Source organism: Homo sapiens, chromosome 6 (assembly GCF_000001405.40).
Source record: "Homo sapiens chromosome 6, GRCh38.p14 Primary Assembly".
Lineage (NCBI taxonomy): Eukaryota > Metazoa > Chordata > Mammalia > Primates > Hominidae > Homo > Homo sapiens.
In genome coordinates, this window is record NC_000006.12 from 27,101,200 (window position 1) to 27,116,196 (window position 14,997).

General features: G+C 40.2%; 1 pseudogene, besides 1 other annotated feature; it reads right to left on the reverse strand.

Annotated features, from left to right (window-relative positions):
- RNU2-62P (RNA, U2 small nuclear 62, pseudogene) lies at positions 8,591-8,781 on the reverse strand (annotated as a pseudogene).
- Positions 14,012-14,111: an enhancer, noted in NCBI's record as "active region_24259". NCBI's record gives its function as "activates an Ori minimal core promoter by ATAC-STARR-seq in GM12878 lymphoblastoid cells {active_cell/tissue: GM12878}" and the evidence as "EXISTENCE:reporter gene assay evidence [ECO:0000049][PMID:35858748]".

A 14,997-nucleotide genomic window follows, 5' to 3' on the forward strand; every position in this document is an offset into this window, starting at 1 on the left:
TGATATATATAACCAACCTGACTTTTATTACTTCCTTGCATTTTTAAGAATTATTTTATCACCAATTATTTTATTCCTAAACACCATTGTTTACCTATGTCTGAACGTTATATAAATAGAATCACATCTCTAGTATTTTTTTCTATGTTTTTCCTTAATAATATTCTATAAATTTCATTCTTGTTTTTGTAGATAGTTCATCCCTTTCTGTTTTTATATAGTATGTCATAACATAAACATACTGTAACATATTTATCCTTTGAATGCATTTTCCATTGCTGTGTAAAAAATTACCCTGAAATGTAGTTGCTTAAAACATTTGTTGGCGGTTGGGCGTGGTGGCTCACGATTGTAATACCAGCACTTTGGGAGGCCAAGGCAGGCGGATCACAAGGTTAAGAGATCGAGACCATCCTGGCCAACGTGGTGAAACCCCGTGTCTACCAAAAATACAAAAATTAGCTGGGTGTGATGACGCGCTCCTGTAGTCCCAGCTACTTGGGAGGCTGAGGAAGGAGAATCGCTTGAACCCGGGAGGTGGAGGTTGCAGTGAGCCGAGGTCGCACCACTGCACTCCAGCCTGATGACAGAGCATGACTCTGTCTCAAAAAAAAAGAAAAAAGAAAGAAAAAAAAATTGGCTTCTAATTTCTGTGGGTGAGGATTCTGGGAGTGGCTTAGCTGGGTTCTCTGGCTCAGGGTCGCTCACAAAGCTACAATCAAGGTGGCAGCAGGAGCTTCAGTCATCTCGAGGCTAGACTGGTGAAAGACTGGCTTTCATGATCACTGACATGGTTGTTAACAGCATGTTAGAGTGAGGATGTAAGTACTCACCAACTATTGTCTGGAGGCCACTCTCAGTTCCTTGCCATTTGAAGTCTCCACAGCACTGCTCACAACATAGCAACTTGTTTCATCAGAGCAAGCAATTCAGAAGAGCCAGAGTGAGTACGAGCAAGAGAAAAGTCAGAATCTTTTATAACCTAATTTTGGAAGTGACATCCTATCACTTTTGCTTATGCTGTTCATTGAAAATGTTTCAGTAGGCCTAGCCCACCATTCAAGGGGATGGAATTACACAAGAGCATGATTAACAGGAGCTGGGTATCGTGGGGGGCTCTCTTAGAAGCTGCCTACCACACATTTTAGGTTAATGAAGATTTGTGTTTTTGTTTACTTCTAGGGCGCTTCTTGTACATTTCTTCTGATGCATATGTGCTTACATTGCTGAGTCATAAATTATGGATATGTCATGGGTCTGGCTTTGTTCAATATGATGTTGGTGAGATAGATCCATGTACTCATAGCTCATTTTCACTGTGCTGTACTGTTCCATGGTTTGGACCCCTACAATTTATTTATCCGTCCTACTGTCAATTGACCTTTTTTTCAAGTTTTGCCTATTATAAACTACATTTTTGGAGATTTTTCCACATATCTCAGTGCACATTTGCACTGGATATACATACAGAAATGAAATGTTGAGTCCTATGATATGCATAATTTATTAGATAATTTTATTAGATACCCCCCAAATTTTCAGATAGTATCGTGCACCTGCAGCACACATTAAGTTCCTGTTGCTTCAACTTCTTTCCAAAATTTAATATGGTCAGGCTTTTAAATTTCACTATTTTCCTGGGTGTTAATGGGTCAAAATTGCTTATTTATTCTGTAAATACCTGATTAGTAATGCTGTTAAGTCCTTTTTATATTATTATTACTATTCAATATTTCATTTTGTGAAATGCCTCTTCAAATCACTTGATTTTTGTTTTTCTGTTCCTTTCTTACTGCTGTGTAGTAGTTCTTTCTATATTTTGACAAGCTCTTTGTTGATTCCATGTGTTATAAACACAATTCCCCTACACTGTAACTTGCCATTTGAACCTCTGAATCTCTTAATAACTTGAGGAACAAAAGATTTTTGTTTTAATGAATCCAAATTTATTTATATGTGTGTATCTGTGTCATATATTATATATGTACATATGTGTTAGTGTTTTGTGGGTTTTTTACAAATCTTCTGCTCCCTAGAAGTCATAAAGATATCTCCCTTTATTAACATTTAGAAGCTATCTTGTTCTACCTTTTACATTTAGATCTAAAATGCACCTAGAACTGATATTTATGTATAGTGGGAGGGAAAATCCCCTGGAATATCTATCTATCTATCTTTCTCTCTCTCTTTCTCTCAATTCATTTATCTAGAGATAAGTATATTCATTTTGGTATTAAAATGACCAAGCACTTGGTGGGGCGCAGTGGCTCATGCCTGTAATCCCAGCACTTTGGGAGGATGAGGCAAGTGGATCACTTGAGGTCAGGAGTTCGAGACCAGCCTGCCTAACATGGTGAAAGCCTATCTCTACTAAAAATACAAAAAATTAGCTGGGCGTGGTGGCACACACCTGTAGTCCCAGCTACTCAGGAGGCTGAGGCTCGAGAACTGCTTGAACCCCAGGGGGCAGAGGTTGCAGTGAGCTGAGGTTGTGCCACTCTGCTCCAGCCTGGGCGACAGAGCGAAACTCTGTCTCAAAAAAAAAGAAAAAGAAAAAGGCCAATCACCACTTGTTGAAAAAAACCATCTTTTCCCTCTTTGCTCTGCACTTACTTTTTCTATCACCAGATGCCCATATATGTGGTCCTTTTCATTTCTCCACTCTCTTCCTCCTGTCTATTTATCTAACTTTATAATCTCCCACACTCTTATTTACTATAGCTTTATAAGTCTTGAAATGTGGTAACAGAAAACTTGACCTATTCTTCCCCTTCAAGATTTGCTTGTTCTGTATTGCCTCTCTGTACTTACATATACATTTTGGAATTATTTTGTAAATTTCTGCCAAAAAAAAGTAAGCTGCTGTGATTTTGGATAATATTTCCTGGATCTGTAGATCAGTTTGATTATAATAGGTATCTTTAAAATTATGAGATCTGGCCACACACGGTGGCTCACATCTGTAATCTCAGCACTTTGGGAGGAAGAGGTGGACGGATCACTTGAGGTCAGGAGTTCGAGACCAGCCTGGCCAACATGGTGAAACTCCATCTCTAATAAAAATATGAAAATCAGCTGGGCATGGTGGCACATGCCTATAATCCCAGCTACTTGGGAGGCTGAGGCACGAGAATCACTTGAATTTGGGAGGCGGAGTTTGCAGTGAGCTGAGACCGCACCACTGCACTCCAGCCTGGGTGACAGAGTGAGATTCTAGCTCAAAAATAGTAATAATATCAAAATAATAAAATAATGAAATCTTACAATGTATATATTACCTTTCAATTATTTAGATTTTCTCTAGTTTATCTCAATAGCATCATACTATTTTTCTACATAGAAATATGGCCAACATTTCACTAGGTATATTTCAGATATCTTTTGGTTTTTGCGCTACTACGTGTGATATTATTTTTTAATTTTTATTTTATTAATACATTACAATTCAACTCATTTCTTATATCTGTTATAGAAAGCCTGATATTGGTCCATTGTGTGGATGCTGATATAAGGAGAAGCAGGCCTGCAGTTAGAAACATCGTATTAGGAAGAGTTAGCCTCACATCAGGTGATGCAGGATACACATATGTGTACAAGACCATAGACCACTAGGAAAACTCAGTCTAAGTTATGACTGAGGCTTCCCTGCTCAACCAGCATGCCTCTTTCATGAAGGATCTAAGCAGTGGTCCTCAACCCACGGTGATTTTGCCCCATTAGGAGACATTTGACAATGTGTAGAGACATTCTTGTTGTCACAACTGGAGAGGAGATGCTACTGGTATCCAGTGGATAAAGGCCAGGGATGCTTCCAAACATCCTCCAATGCAAAGGACAGCTCCCCACAACAAATAATTTTCCAGCCCAAAATGCCAATAGCTTCAAATTTGAGAAACTCTGATACACTACGATATATATTAATATATAAACATATATAGAGAGAAAATATATCAAATGACAATTTTACTCTCTTTTGGATCAATACCCAACTCCTTTGCTGACATTCAAGACCCTCCATGCCCTCTACTTACCTTACTGCTCCTTAGAGTGAAGTTACAGTCTTGCTCACCCATGTCATATGAATTTCTATCTCCAATACATTTCTTAGGATCTTTATGTAACCTACCATGCACCTTTAGCTTTGACTAATGTATACTTCTTCAAAGACTATTTCCAGGTCTACCCTTCTACATAGACTATAGAGAAAAGTGATTATTTGCTTCTCTCAACTCTGATATGTGATGCTTCCTCATATACCCAGCTAATAGGACATTTGCCCAGGTTTACCTTCTTTTGGATGATAGTTCTCAAACTACCCCACTCAGTTGGATAGAGTTGATCTGCTTCTGTCAAATATATACAGAAATATGTAGATCTCTTTTTCTAGCACATGATATCACTGAATAATAATTTGTTCCCAATGTGGTATCTTCTGATAAAATGAGAACTCTAGAAGTTTTTCTTCAAACAGAAAATATGCTGTATGGATTGCATGTTTGTGTCCCCCCCTAAATTCGCACATTGAAATCCTAACCTCCAATATCATGGTATTAGGAGGTGGGGCCTTTGGGAGGTAATTAGACCATGAGGGTGGAGTCCTCTTGAATGGGATTAGCACCTTTGTAAAAGAGACTCCACAGGGCTCTCTAGCCTTCTTTCTGCCAGGTGAGAATACAATGAGAAGCCTGCAACCTGGAAGAGGGCCCTCACCAGAACCTGACCACACTGGCACCCTGATCTCAAACTTTGGCCTCCAGAACAGAGATAAATAAATTCCTATGGTTTATAAACCACGCAGTCTATGGCTCTTGGTTATAGCAGCCTACACTGACTATAACATATACCAATCAAAACTAATTGTAGGCTGGGTGTGGTGGCTCATGTCTGTAATCCCAGCACTTTGGGAGGCCAAGGCAGGTGGATCACTCGAGATCACAAGCTGGAGTTTGAGACTAGCCTGGCCAACATGGTGAAACTGCGTCTCGACTAAAAATACAAAAATTAGCCAGGCATGGTAGCAGGTGCCTGTAATCCCAGCTACTCAGGAGGCTGAGGCAGGAGAATTGCTTGAACCTGGGAGGTGGAGGTTGCAGTGAGCCAAGATGGCTCCACTTAATTGTATACTTATACACTGTGGTGTTCTCTTCCTCTTCTACACATTCTCCACTAAACAGCTTTAATGCAACCCATCCTGGGGCCATAGGAACAAACTCATGCTATTAGACACAACTTGAATCACGTATAATAATACTAACAGAATATTTAAAAACACTAACAGAGACCTAGAGTGACACAGAGACAGATTAGCACCTAGAGACACACCATCTGAGAAACAGACATGCCATAAAAGACACAATCACACCCCCACACATTACGAGGGCCAACATGTACCAGACACTGTGCTAAGCCCTTCCTAGTCAAATTTACATAACATTCCCATAAAAAATTATGAGACAGGTACAAATAATTTCCACTTAAAAGTGAATAAATCCAAGGCACAAAAACATAATTTTCCCAAGGTCATCAGATGATAAATTGGGGTCGGGGTAGGAATTTTACCTGTCTGGTCTTTGACCTTAATTACTACTCTGAAGTGTCCCCTTCCCCAAGTTATAATGAGGCTGGTTTCTTCTCTTTCTTCAGATCTCAGGTCTAAGAGGCCTTTCAAGATTCCACATTTAAAGAGCCAACATTGCCTTGCTTCATTGTTGTTAAGAACTCACGACTATTTGAAAGTATTTATTATCCTCTACTTTTGTATAGCTGGTTGCCCTTCCAAGAGTTAGGCAAGAGAGACTTCCTTCATCTAGGATTGCCAGATATAGCATATAAAAATATAAAATGCCCACTTAAATTTGAACTTCAGATTTTTAACATATCTCATGCATTATTTGAAAGTTACTTATATTAAATGCTTATATTTATTATTTATTTGAAATTCAAATTTAACGGGGCATCCTATATTTTATGTGGCAACCCTCTCCATCACAGTCAACTCATCTATGGAGTCTTTCATATAGTTGTTTTTTTTGTTTGGTTGGTTGGGTTTTTCTTTTTCTTTTTTTTTTTTTTGAGATGGAGTCTTGCCCTGTCTCCCAGGCTGGAGTGCAATGGCGCAATCTCGGCTCACTGCAACCTCCACCTCCCAGGTTCAAGCGATTCTCCTGCCTCAGCCTCCCCAGTAGCTGGGATTACAGGCGTGTGCCACCAGGCATGCTAATTTTTTTTTTTTTTTTTGTATCTTTAGTAGAGACGGGGTTTCACCATGTCGGCCAGGCTGGTCTCAAACTCCTGACCTCGTGATCCACCCACCTTGGCCTCCCAAAGTGCTGAGATTACAGGCATGAGCCACTGCACCCAGCCTCATATAGTTCTTTTTAAATGTATACCTTCAGTGTAGAAATACAATAAGTATTTCTATGGCTATGGTTCAGGAAATCCATGTAACTGCTTGAATTGGGTGCAGGAACTGGCATTTTTACAGATTTGCAGGGAGAATGTTCATAGATATTTCTAGATAAACAAATGGATCAATGTTTTTTACCTTTGCTCTCTCACCAAGTGAGCACTAGCTCCTTTTTATGTAGGATTTTTCCTTAGAACTTTCTCAGACTTGGTGATTCCCCAGCTCTTCTTACATAAACCTCCTCCTTAACTCCCTTTGCCTTATAGAAAGACATAGAGAGACAATGTGTTTGTGAAAGCAGTCTGAAGATGTGGATCCTCATGGTGGACTCACCGCCCACTGTGTCTTGTTTCTCCTTTCATTCCAGGCTTCTAGTTCCTAATTTTTCTCATAAGCAAAATATTATAAACCGTTCAGATTCTTGAAGCAATAGCAAAATAATTCATACAAAATTATTTGTAGGTTCTCAAAAGCAAGAGAAGTGCCTCTCACATTCAGATGATATGTCCCTCTCACATTCAGAAACAGACACACAAGAAGGCATCAAGCACAGAACAGGAATTGAAGTTATTGCCAGGACTAGTGTCTTTTGGAACTCAATTGCCTTAATACAGGTCCAGGAAAATGTATACCCACAAAATAAGCATATCCCTACAACCAGCAGACTAGGTGGAAATGGTAAGAGGAAATGTTTTGGGAACTCACTTCTACAACTCCCCTGATGTGGTTCTTAAGTGTGGTGGCATATCCAGAATGGATGATATGACCAGGCATCTGCTTCACCAATACTGGGGCCTATTGCTGAGTTGGGAACAGAGTTAGGGAAATTACATATTCTCCTGGGATACAAATACTAGATAAGTAATTAGATTATTTGATATAATTTTCCTTTGTGTTGTGGAGAACGAAATGAGGCCATAAGTACATAAACAAGGGAGGTCCTTAACCTGGGAGGTCAGGAGAAATATCCCAGGGTAGGTGGCATCAAAGCCATAAACTGAAGGAATGAGAAGATGTGGAGGCATAAATATTCAATACTTTTTGACCAACATCTGTCTGATAGGATCAAGTCCCTACTCTGGAGAAGTCTCCATCTTATTGGGAGTTACTTTTTCAACTTTACATAGTAGAAATATTTTCTAGTTTGTCATTTGTTTTCTATCCTTATTTGCTGATATCTGTTAAAACATTTTAAATGCATACATACTAAACTTTCCTTTTTGTGTTTTTATTATGTTCAGAATGAAATGCAAAACACAAATCAAAAGAAGTAGTTTTCTGTATTTTTCAACCTGAAGAAATTATATTACCATTGCATGCATCAAGTCTTTCCTTTTCAACATTAAATGCATTGTTACTGTTTGCACACTTCCTATACAAAATAGGTGCTAAGAAAAATTTGGGGTGATAGAACATATATAACCTGCAAAAGTACCACTCACAAATCCTATAGTCCTATATAGGCTGTTTATTTTTATTGACTTTTTAATGGAAATCCAGTCAAAGGAGAAAGCAGTTGAGATGGGTGTGGCAGAATGTGAGTGAAAGATGTGATCTCACCAGTCCCAACAAAAGGAGAACATCAGACCAGAGCCCTTCAGGTGCACTTGGGAGGCTTCAAAGTTGGATGCCTGAGGAGAGCTCCTCAGTGTAAAAGAAGATGAGTTTTAATTCTTGCATTATTTCTATGTTTTATTAGAAGTCACTTCAATGAGGGATATGTGTTTATTATGGGGAACTTTTTTTTTCTTTTAAAGACTAAGTAGACAGACTAGGAAGTATAGGAATTGTCTCACATCATTTTTTTAAATGAAATTCCTCTGCCCCCTAAACCTTGAACATTCTTTGGATAAAACATTACTAAGGATTCTGGGGAGTTGTCCTTAAAAATATAAATGCTTGTATCACATCATGGAACTATTTAATGTTATGTCAATATTATTTGTTGGACCTAGACTAAAATGGAAAGTCATAGAAACATGGACCATAGTTTATAGAGCTTAAAAATCTTATAAGGCACTCAGGTGTTAGGCAAAAATGACACTAAAGAATAGTATAATTATAAGTAGATGTGGTTAATTAAATAAAAACAAGACTGGCCCCTTTCTAAAGCAGTTATTTATAGGTATGAATCATATTTCACTTGTAATCTCTTGCTAGCATTTAAAAAAAATTTCCCCCAGAGGAGGATGCACCATTTTGGAAGTACTGCAATACCAAGATGATGTGTGGAGTGGACAGAGGAAGTTGCTATTCTATCTCCTACTTCCAAAAGTCCATTTAATATATTGTTCCTTGGATACAGGATATATCAGATATTAAATTGATAAGAACAAACATTACACTTGATGTTAGCCAAAAGGCCGAGAAGCAATTTCTGTTATATTTAACTCCTAATTTTGGCCTAAGTACTGTCAAAGTCAAAATAAAATATAGAGATGAATCTCTAAACATTTTATTTGGGAATCACAAAATTGCAATTCGAGACATATGCACAGACTGGGTTGGTCCTCTGTATGTCTGAAGAACAGAGAAAGTTGGAGATTTTACTAGAAAGAGAAACGTTATATATTGTTTTGAAAGAAAGCTAATTGGCACTAGAGAAGCTCTTGGGAGCTGGCAAGCTCTGACCTGCAAGTGACAGTAGTAAGTAAAATGTCTTAGAGTCACCAAAAGTCATTTCAGCAGCTACTAGGTAAAACTAGTCTTAGGAATAAAGCAAGCCATTTCAGCAGCTGAGCTTATGGAAAAGGTAAGAACCACATGAATGATGGTAGAGATCCCTTTACTGAATTCCATTAGCGGGGACAAAAGAGGTCTTTACCAGGAAAAACTGTCTGGAATGGTAGAGCAGAAAAATTACCATTAAGAAGAAGAAAATTTATGCTTTTATGCTGACCCACAGCATCATATTTCCACCTCTGGCTGCATGTTGGTTCTTTTAAATAGGTAGTGGAGGTCTTCTACCAGTTCACAAGTGTAGGTATGCTGGTCAAGTGTGCTCAGCTAATAACTCCATGAAGTTTAACATTCCAAAGGATTCGTTAACAGCACCTAATAAGAACCTTTTTAAAACAGCTAGAAGTGGTGATACTAGGAGCTGCAAGATTTTACAACCTTGTGATTTTTATAGTTTTAATAAACCCCAGCAATAAGCCAGTGTCTTAAACTAGGATTTGATTCTGTTCACATTTGTCAGAAAGAGTTAAGAGACCCAAAATATTTTGTTGATACAGAACTACAGGTCATTGTAACCGATAGTTACTTATTTAACCAAAATGATCATCAAAAGACTTTAAAGGCAATACAGAAAGTTACACAGATGTAAAAACCTTAATCCTTGTAAATTTCAGTTTTTGTTAAGCAGTCACAAACCTAATAAAGAAAACACAGGAACTATCTTGATAATATTTAAAACCAGGCTTCTCAGCTGGGCATGGTGTCTCACGCCTGTAATCCCAGCATTTTGAGATGCCGAGGTGGGCGGATCACGAGGTCAGGAGATTGAGTCCATCCTGGCTAACATGGTGAAACCCCATCTCTACTAAAAATACAAAAAAGTAGCTGGGCATGGTGGCAGGTGCCTGTAGTCCCAGCTACTCGGGAGGCTGAGGCAGGAGAATGGCGTGAACCCAGGAGGCAGAGCTTGCAGTGAGCAGAGATTGTGCCACTGCACTCCAGCCTGGGCGACAGAGCAAGACTCTGACTCAAAAAAAAAAAAAAAAAAAAAAAAAACCAGGCTTCTCAAAGGGACAAAAAGCTAAAAGCACTTCTGAGATATGAATCTGAGTTTTCAAAAAAAAAAAAAAAAGCTATAGAATTGAAAAGCAAAATTTTTATTAATTTCATTAAGAACAAATCAATACCTTAAGAAAACCTTGTTTTTTTTGTTTGTTTTTTGGTTTTTGGTTTTTAGTTTTTTTGAGATGGAGTCTCGCTCTGTCACTCAGGCTGGAGTGCAGTGACGCAATCTCAGCTCACTGCGGCCTCTGCCTCCTGGGTTCAAGTGATTCTCCTGCCTCAGCCTCCTGAGCAGCTGGGACTAGAGGCGCGCACCACCATGCCCTGCTAATTTTTGTATTTTTAGTAGAGATGGGGTTTCACCATATTGGCCAGGCTGGTCTCAAACTCCTGACCTCGTGATCCACCTGCCTTGGCCTCCCAAAGTGCTGGGATTACAGGTGCAACCCACCGTGCCTGGCCATAAAACCTTGTTTTAAAAGAGGGGACCATTCTTTAGAAAGACTATTATAAACAGTTCCCTTTTAATTATTCCTAAGAATCATATACAAAATTCCTTTTATATATTCCCCTTCACAAACCTTGTCACAACTTACAAAGACCATCTGTGATATGCTTGGACTTTCTGACTTGTCCTATACTACCTCTTCCTTAAATACCTAGTAATTTGACTCTAGAACAAGAGTTTACCATATAAGATTTTCTTTTCATACTGCAATAGTCCTCTCATATTGATTTTTTAAAATTGAAGATCCTTTTTCATATACAGTTATGCTCTTTTCTTTATAACCTTCCTTTATACAATCATTCTTTATGACCTTCCTTACCAAAAATACATCTCCACATCCATAACTTTCTTCACATCTCTCTCCTACTTATAGATTCCTTATTTCATAGCCTTTTCTAATCCATAATTTGAATCAACCTTTATATAGTTTCTGAATTTGACAAAATTATTATCTCAATAAGAACACATTTTAACTAAATATTTTTATTTGCCACTTCAAAAGTTACCTAAGCCTCTTCCATGGAGATGGTAAGGTGTCCAGTGGGAGCTGTGGGGGACCTTGGGCCCGGTCAGTCTTGTTTTCTTGGCCATTATGGGTTTGGGTAGCCTAGGCTCCCTTTGAAGCTTGGAACAGTCCCTTTTTCAATGGCCCTCTTGCTTACAGAAGGCACAGTGATATTGGCCCTGGGGCCAGCAAGTTCGGGGCTCTCATCTGGGCATCTGAGATGCTGATCTCAAATCTCCTCAGGCTGGCTAACCCTGAGGTGGGAGAGGGTGCTTAAAGTAGTCACTAACAATTGCATTTTGGATATTATTTCTTTTGGTTATCTCTGCCTGTTTTGACCTGTGCCTATTGTTGTAAACTGGAAAGGCCATATTTAAAAATTGGCTTATAGGAGTTTGCGTTTCCCCTTTCTGCCTGTTATAGCTTCCTCCTAACATCAAGGACAGACTGAGTGATAAAAGAGTTTGCCTTTCTGGGGAGTCTGTCCTGCAATATTTCCTGAGTGCCTCAACCAAACAGCCCTGACTAGAATAGGATTTTTATCCTCCCCTACAGTTACTTCTCTAACCTTGTCATAATTAACTGGATTAAGCACACTTTCATATCTTCTATTAAACAAGTTACCTATGATTTCTACATTTGAGATCTCAGGAACCCCTCTGGTAATCCCATGGGGGTCCAAATCTGGAAGTACACTCCCACATACAATAAATGGCATGATCCTGGTTACAAGCAGCCATTCCATCAGCATATGCCCAGGCAGTATTCAAAAATCCCTTGTTTCTCCTCTACAGCACAGCAGGTGGACACTATTTGCAAGTCATGCCAAGTTACATCAAACTATAAACTTCCCTGGATCCTCTGATACCAGCCAATGTTTCCCTTGCATGAAGCTAAATCAGACATGGAAAAAGGCACAAGTACTGTTCCCGCCATTAGCAACGTCTCAACCTCTCACAATAGATGTAAGTTTGATTTTAAGGGCTGATAGGACTTTATCACTCCTGATTAGACTGGTTGGACTTATTTCCTCAGGCAGTATGGCATATAGGCTGGAGCTAGTTGGTTAAAGCAGAGGGGTGCCTGATGAACTTGGGATGGAATCCTGTAGTGGAGAACTGGCAGGACCCCCTTCCTCATATTAAGGCACCAAGGAGGCTCCAGGGAGAGTGAACCATTTTTAGGCCAAATTTCTTGGGAAATTAATTTGTACTAAACACTGTTATAATAGAAGATGAGTTTTTAAGACATCAAATTTGAATTTGCTTTAGTTGCCTAAAAGGCACCCTAGCAGGAAGTGTTTCAGGACGCTCACTGTTGTTATGTCTACCAGAGATACCTACTAAACCCAGAAATTCTTCCAAGTCCAGAGAGTCCAGTTACTTTTCCTTTCAAATTTCCACCTCCCTTTTCTTCAAGAGCAGTAGGGAAATTACCACTGACTCCTGCCAAAAGAACATGGGTATCAAGAAGTAGGTGCCACAAAAGTGAAAGATGAGTGGGCAGTGGGCTGGCAACTACCATCACTAGCTAATGGAATGTTACAAAGAAGGCACTTTAAGTATGGAAGTAAAAAAACGCTGACCAAATTAAGAACCCTTAGTGGAAATTTAAACCCCAATCTTAGAAAGGTGACCAAAAAACAAAGCCCCTAGGGCAGGACTCTCAATTCTAACGCCACGTAGAGTGGGACTGACAATAACCCAATAAATTCCCCCTAGAGTGGGACTCTAACCCAATCCTAGAAGGAACATGGCTCTGACATACAACCATGCATTTAGGAACTGAATGGTAATATCAAGTAGCCAGTCATTAGAGATTTAATAGACGATGGTCAAAAACGGGGCAATGGGGACATAATCTGAACATGGGACTAGCTGGAGGCCCCACTTTCATTTCCTGGTTTACCCAGAAAGGTCAATATGACAGGGAAATCACAGAAACCACATGGTGCCAATTGGCCATTAATTTGGGTCCAGGCAAAGGTTTCCAAAGCTTCAGTGTACAACCAGTTAGTCACCAAGAAAACATGGCTCTGAAAAGAGCCTTTGGCTAGTATATAGCATTACAGTATCACAACTCCAAACTTTATCTTGATGGTCAACCCGCTCATCTTGATGCTCCCTTCATGGTCTCTTCATTTTGATGGTTCCTTCCTTCAGGGTCACCAGGCTGACACAGGTGAACCCCAAAATTGGGACTTAACCCTGGAGGGCTTTTGGCTTCAGAGTTAATTTAAAAACACTTCCTAGACCAATAGTGTACAGCAAACTGCTCCATAAACAAAGGGCGACCTGTGTGCTAACCCACAGGCAGCACAGCCTGTAGTAGTAGTATACAGAAAAGTGGGTGCTCCACAGAGCACAAGCTAACCCACAGGCAGAGCAGCCAAGTAGCAGCATGCAGCAAAGTGGGCGCTCCACACAGCACAAGCTAACGCACAGGCAGAGCAGCCCAGAGTAGCAGCATGCAGCATAATAGGTGCTCCACAGAGCAAGGCTCACCCATAGAGCATCCCAGAGTAGCAGCATAGTACAGCAAAGCGGGTGCTCCACAAAGCAAGGCTAACCCATAGGCAGAGAAGCCTACAGCAACTGTGTACAGCAAGGTGGATGCTGCAGAAAGCACAACTAACCCACAGGCAGAACAGCCCAGAATAGCAGTGTACAGCAAAGTGGATGCTCCACCAGTAGAACAGACAGGAAGGGCAGGAGCAGTGTTCAGCAACAGGAGCAGTCCAGAGCAGGAGTCAGAGCAGGAGCCAGAACTGAAGAAAGAGCCACAGTAAAGCACACAGGCTAGCTATATTTATACCCACTATTAATTATATGCTAATTAAGTAGTGTGTTATTCAGAATTTTCTAGAAAAGGGGTGGGGGGAGCTCCCAGAACCCTATAGGGTAACTTCTGAGTCATGTCCATGGCATTTGTAAACTGTCATGGCGCCGATGGGAGTGTCTTTATTCTAATGAGCTGTGAGGGCAACTAGAGGTTGCTTTGTCACCATCTGCTGGTTTCAGCCAGCTGTTTTGTTTTGTTTTGTTTGAGACTGAGTCTGGCTCTATTGCCCAGGCTGGAGTGCAGTGGCTCGATCTTGACTCACTGCAACCTCCACCTCCCGGGTTCAAGCAATTCTCATGCCTCAGCCTCCCTAGTAGCTGGTATTACAGGTGCATGCCACCATGCCCAGCTAATTTTTGTATTTTTAGTAGAGATGGGGTTTCACCATATTGGCCAGGCTGGTCTCGAACTCCTGACCTTAGGTGATCTGCCCACATCAGCGTCCTGAAGTGTTGTGATTACAGGTGTGAGCCACTGCACCCAGCCAGGGTTTTTTGTTTTTGAGACAGGGTCTTGCTCTGTCGCCCCAGCTGGAGTGCAGTGGCACAATCGTAGCTCACTGCTGCCTTGATCTCCCAGGCTCAAGCAATCCTCCCACCTCAGCCCCACAAGCAGCTGAGACTACACATGTAGGCCACCATGTCTCGCTAATTTTTTTTTAACTTACATTTTTAGGGATGGAGTTCTCACTATGTTGCCCAGCTGATATCGAACTTCTAGGCTCAGGGGATCCTCCCACCTCAGCCTCTCAAAGCACTGGGATTATAGGTGTGAGCCACCACTCTGCTGAGGTTTTTTTGTTGTTTTTTTTTTACTGCATCCTGTTTTTGATCAGCATGGTCATTACCGGTGCTTGGAAAAGAAGTCCTGCTGATCTCCTACCTCACTTTGGAAAATTCTTTTCAAGATTAAGTATATGACTATTTATAAAGAACTTAGTACAGTGAGACCAATGATCAATTATTTAAAGTTGTTTTACTCTTGTTAGTGTCATTA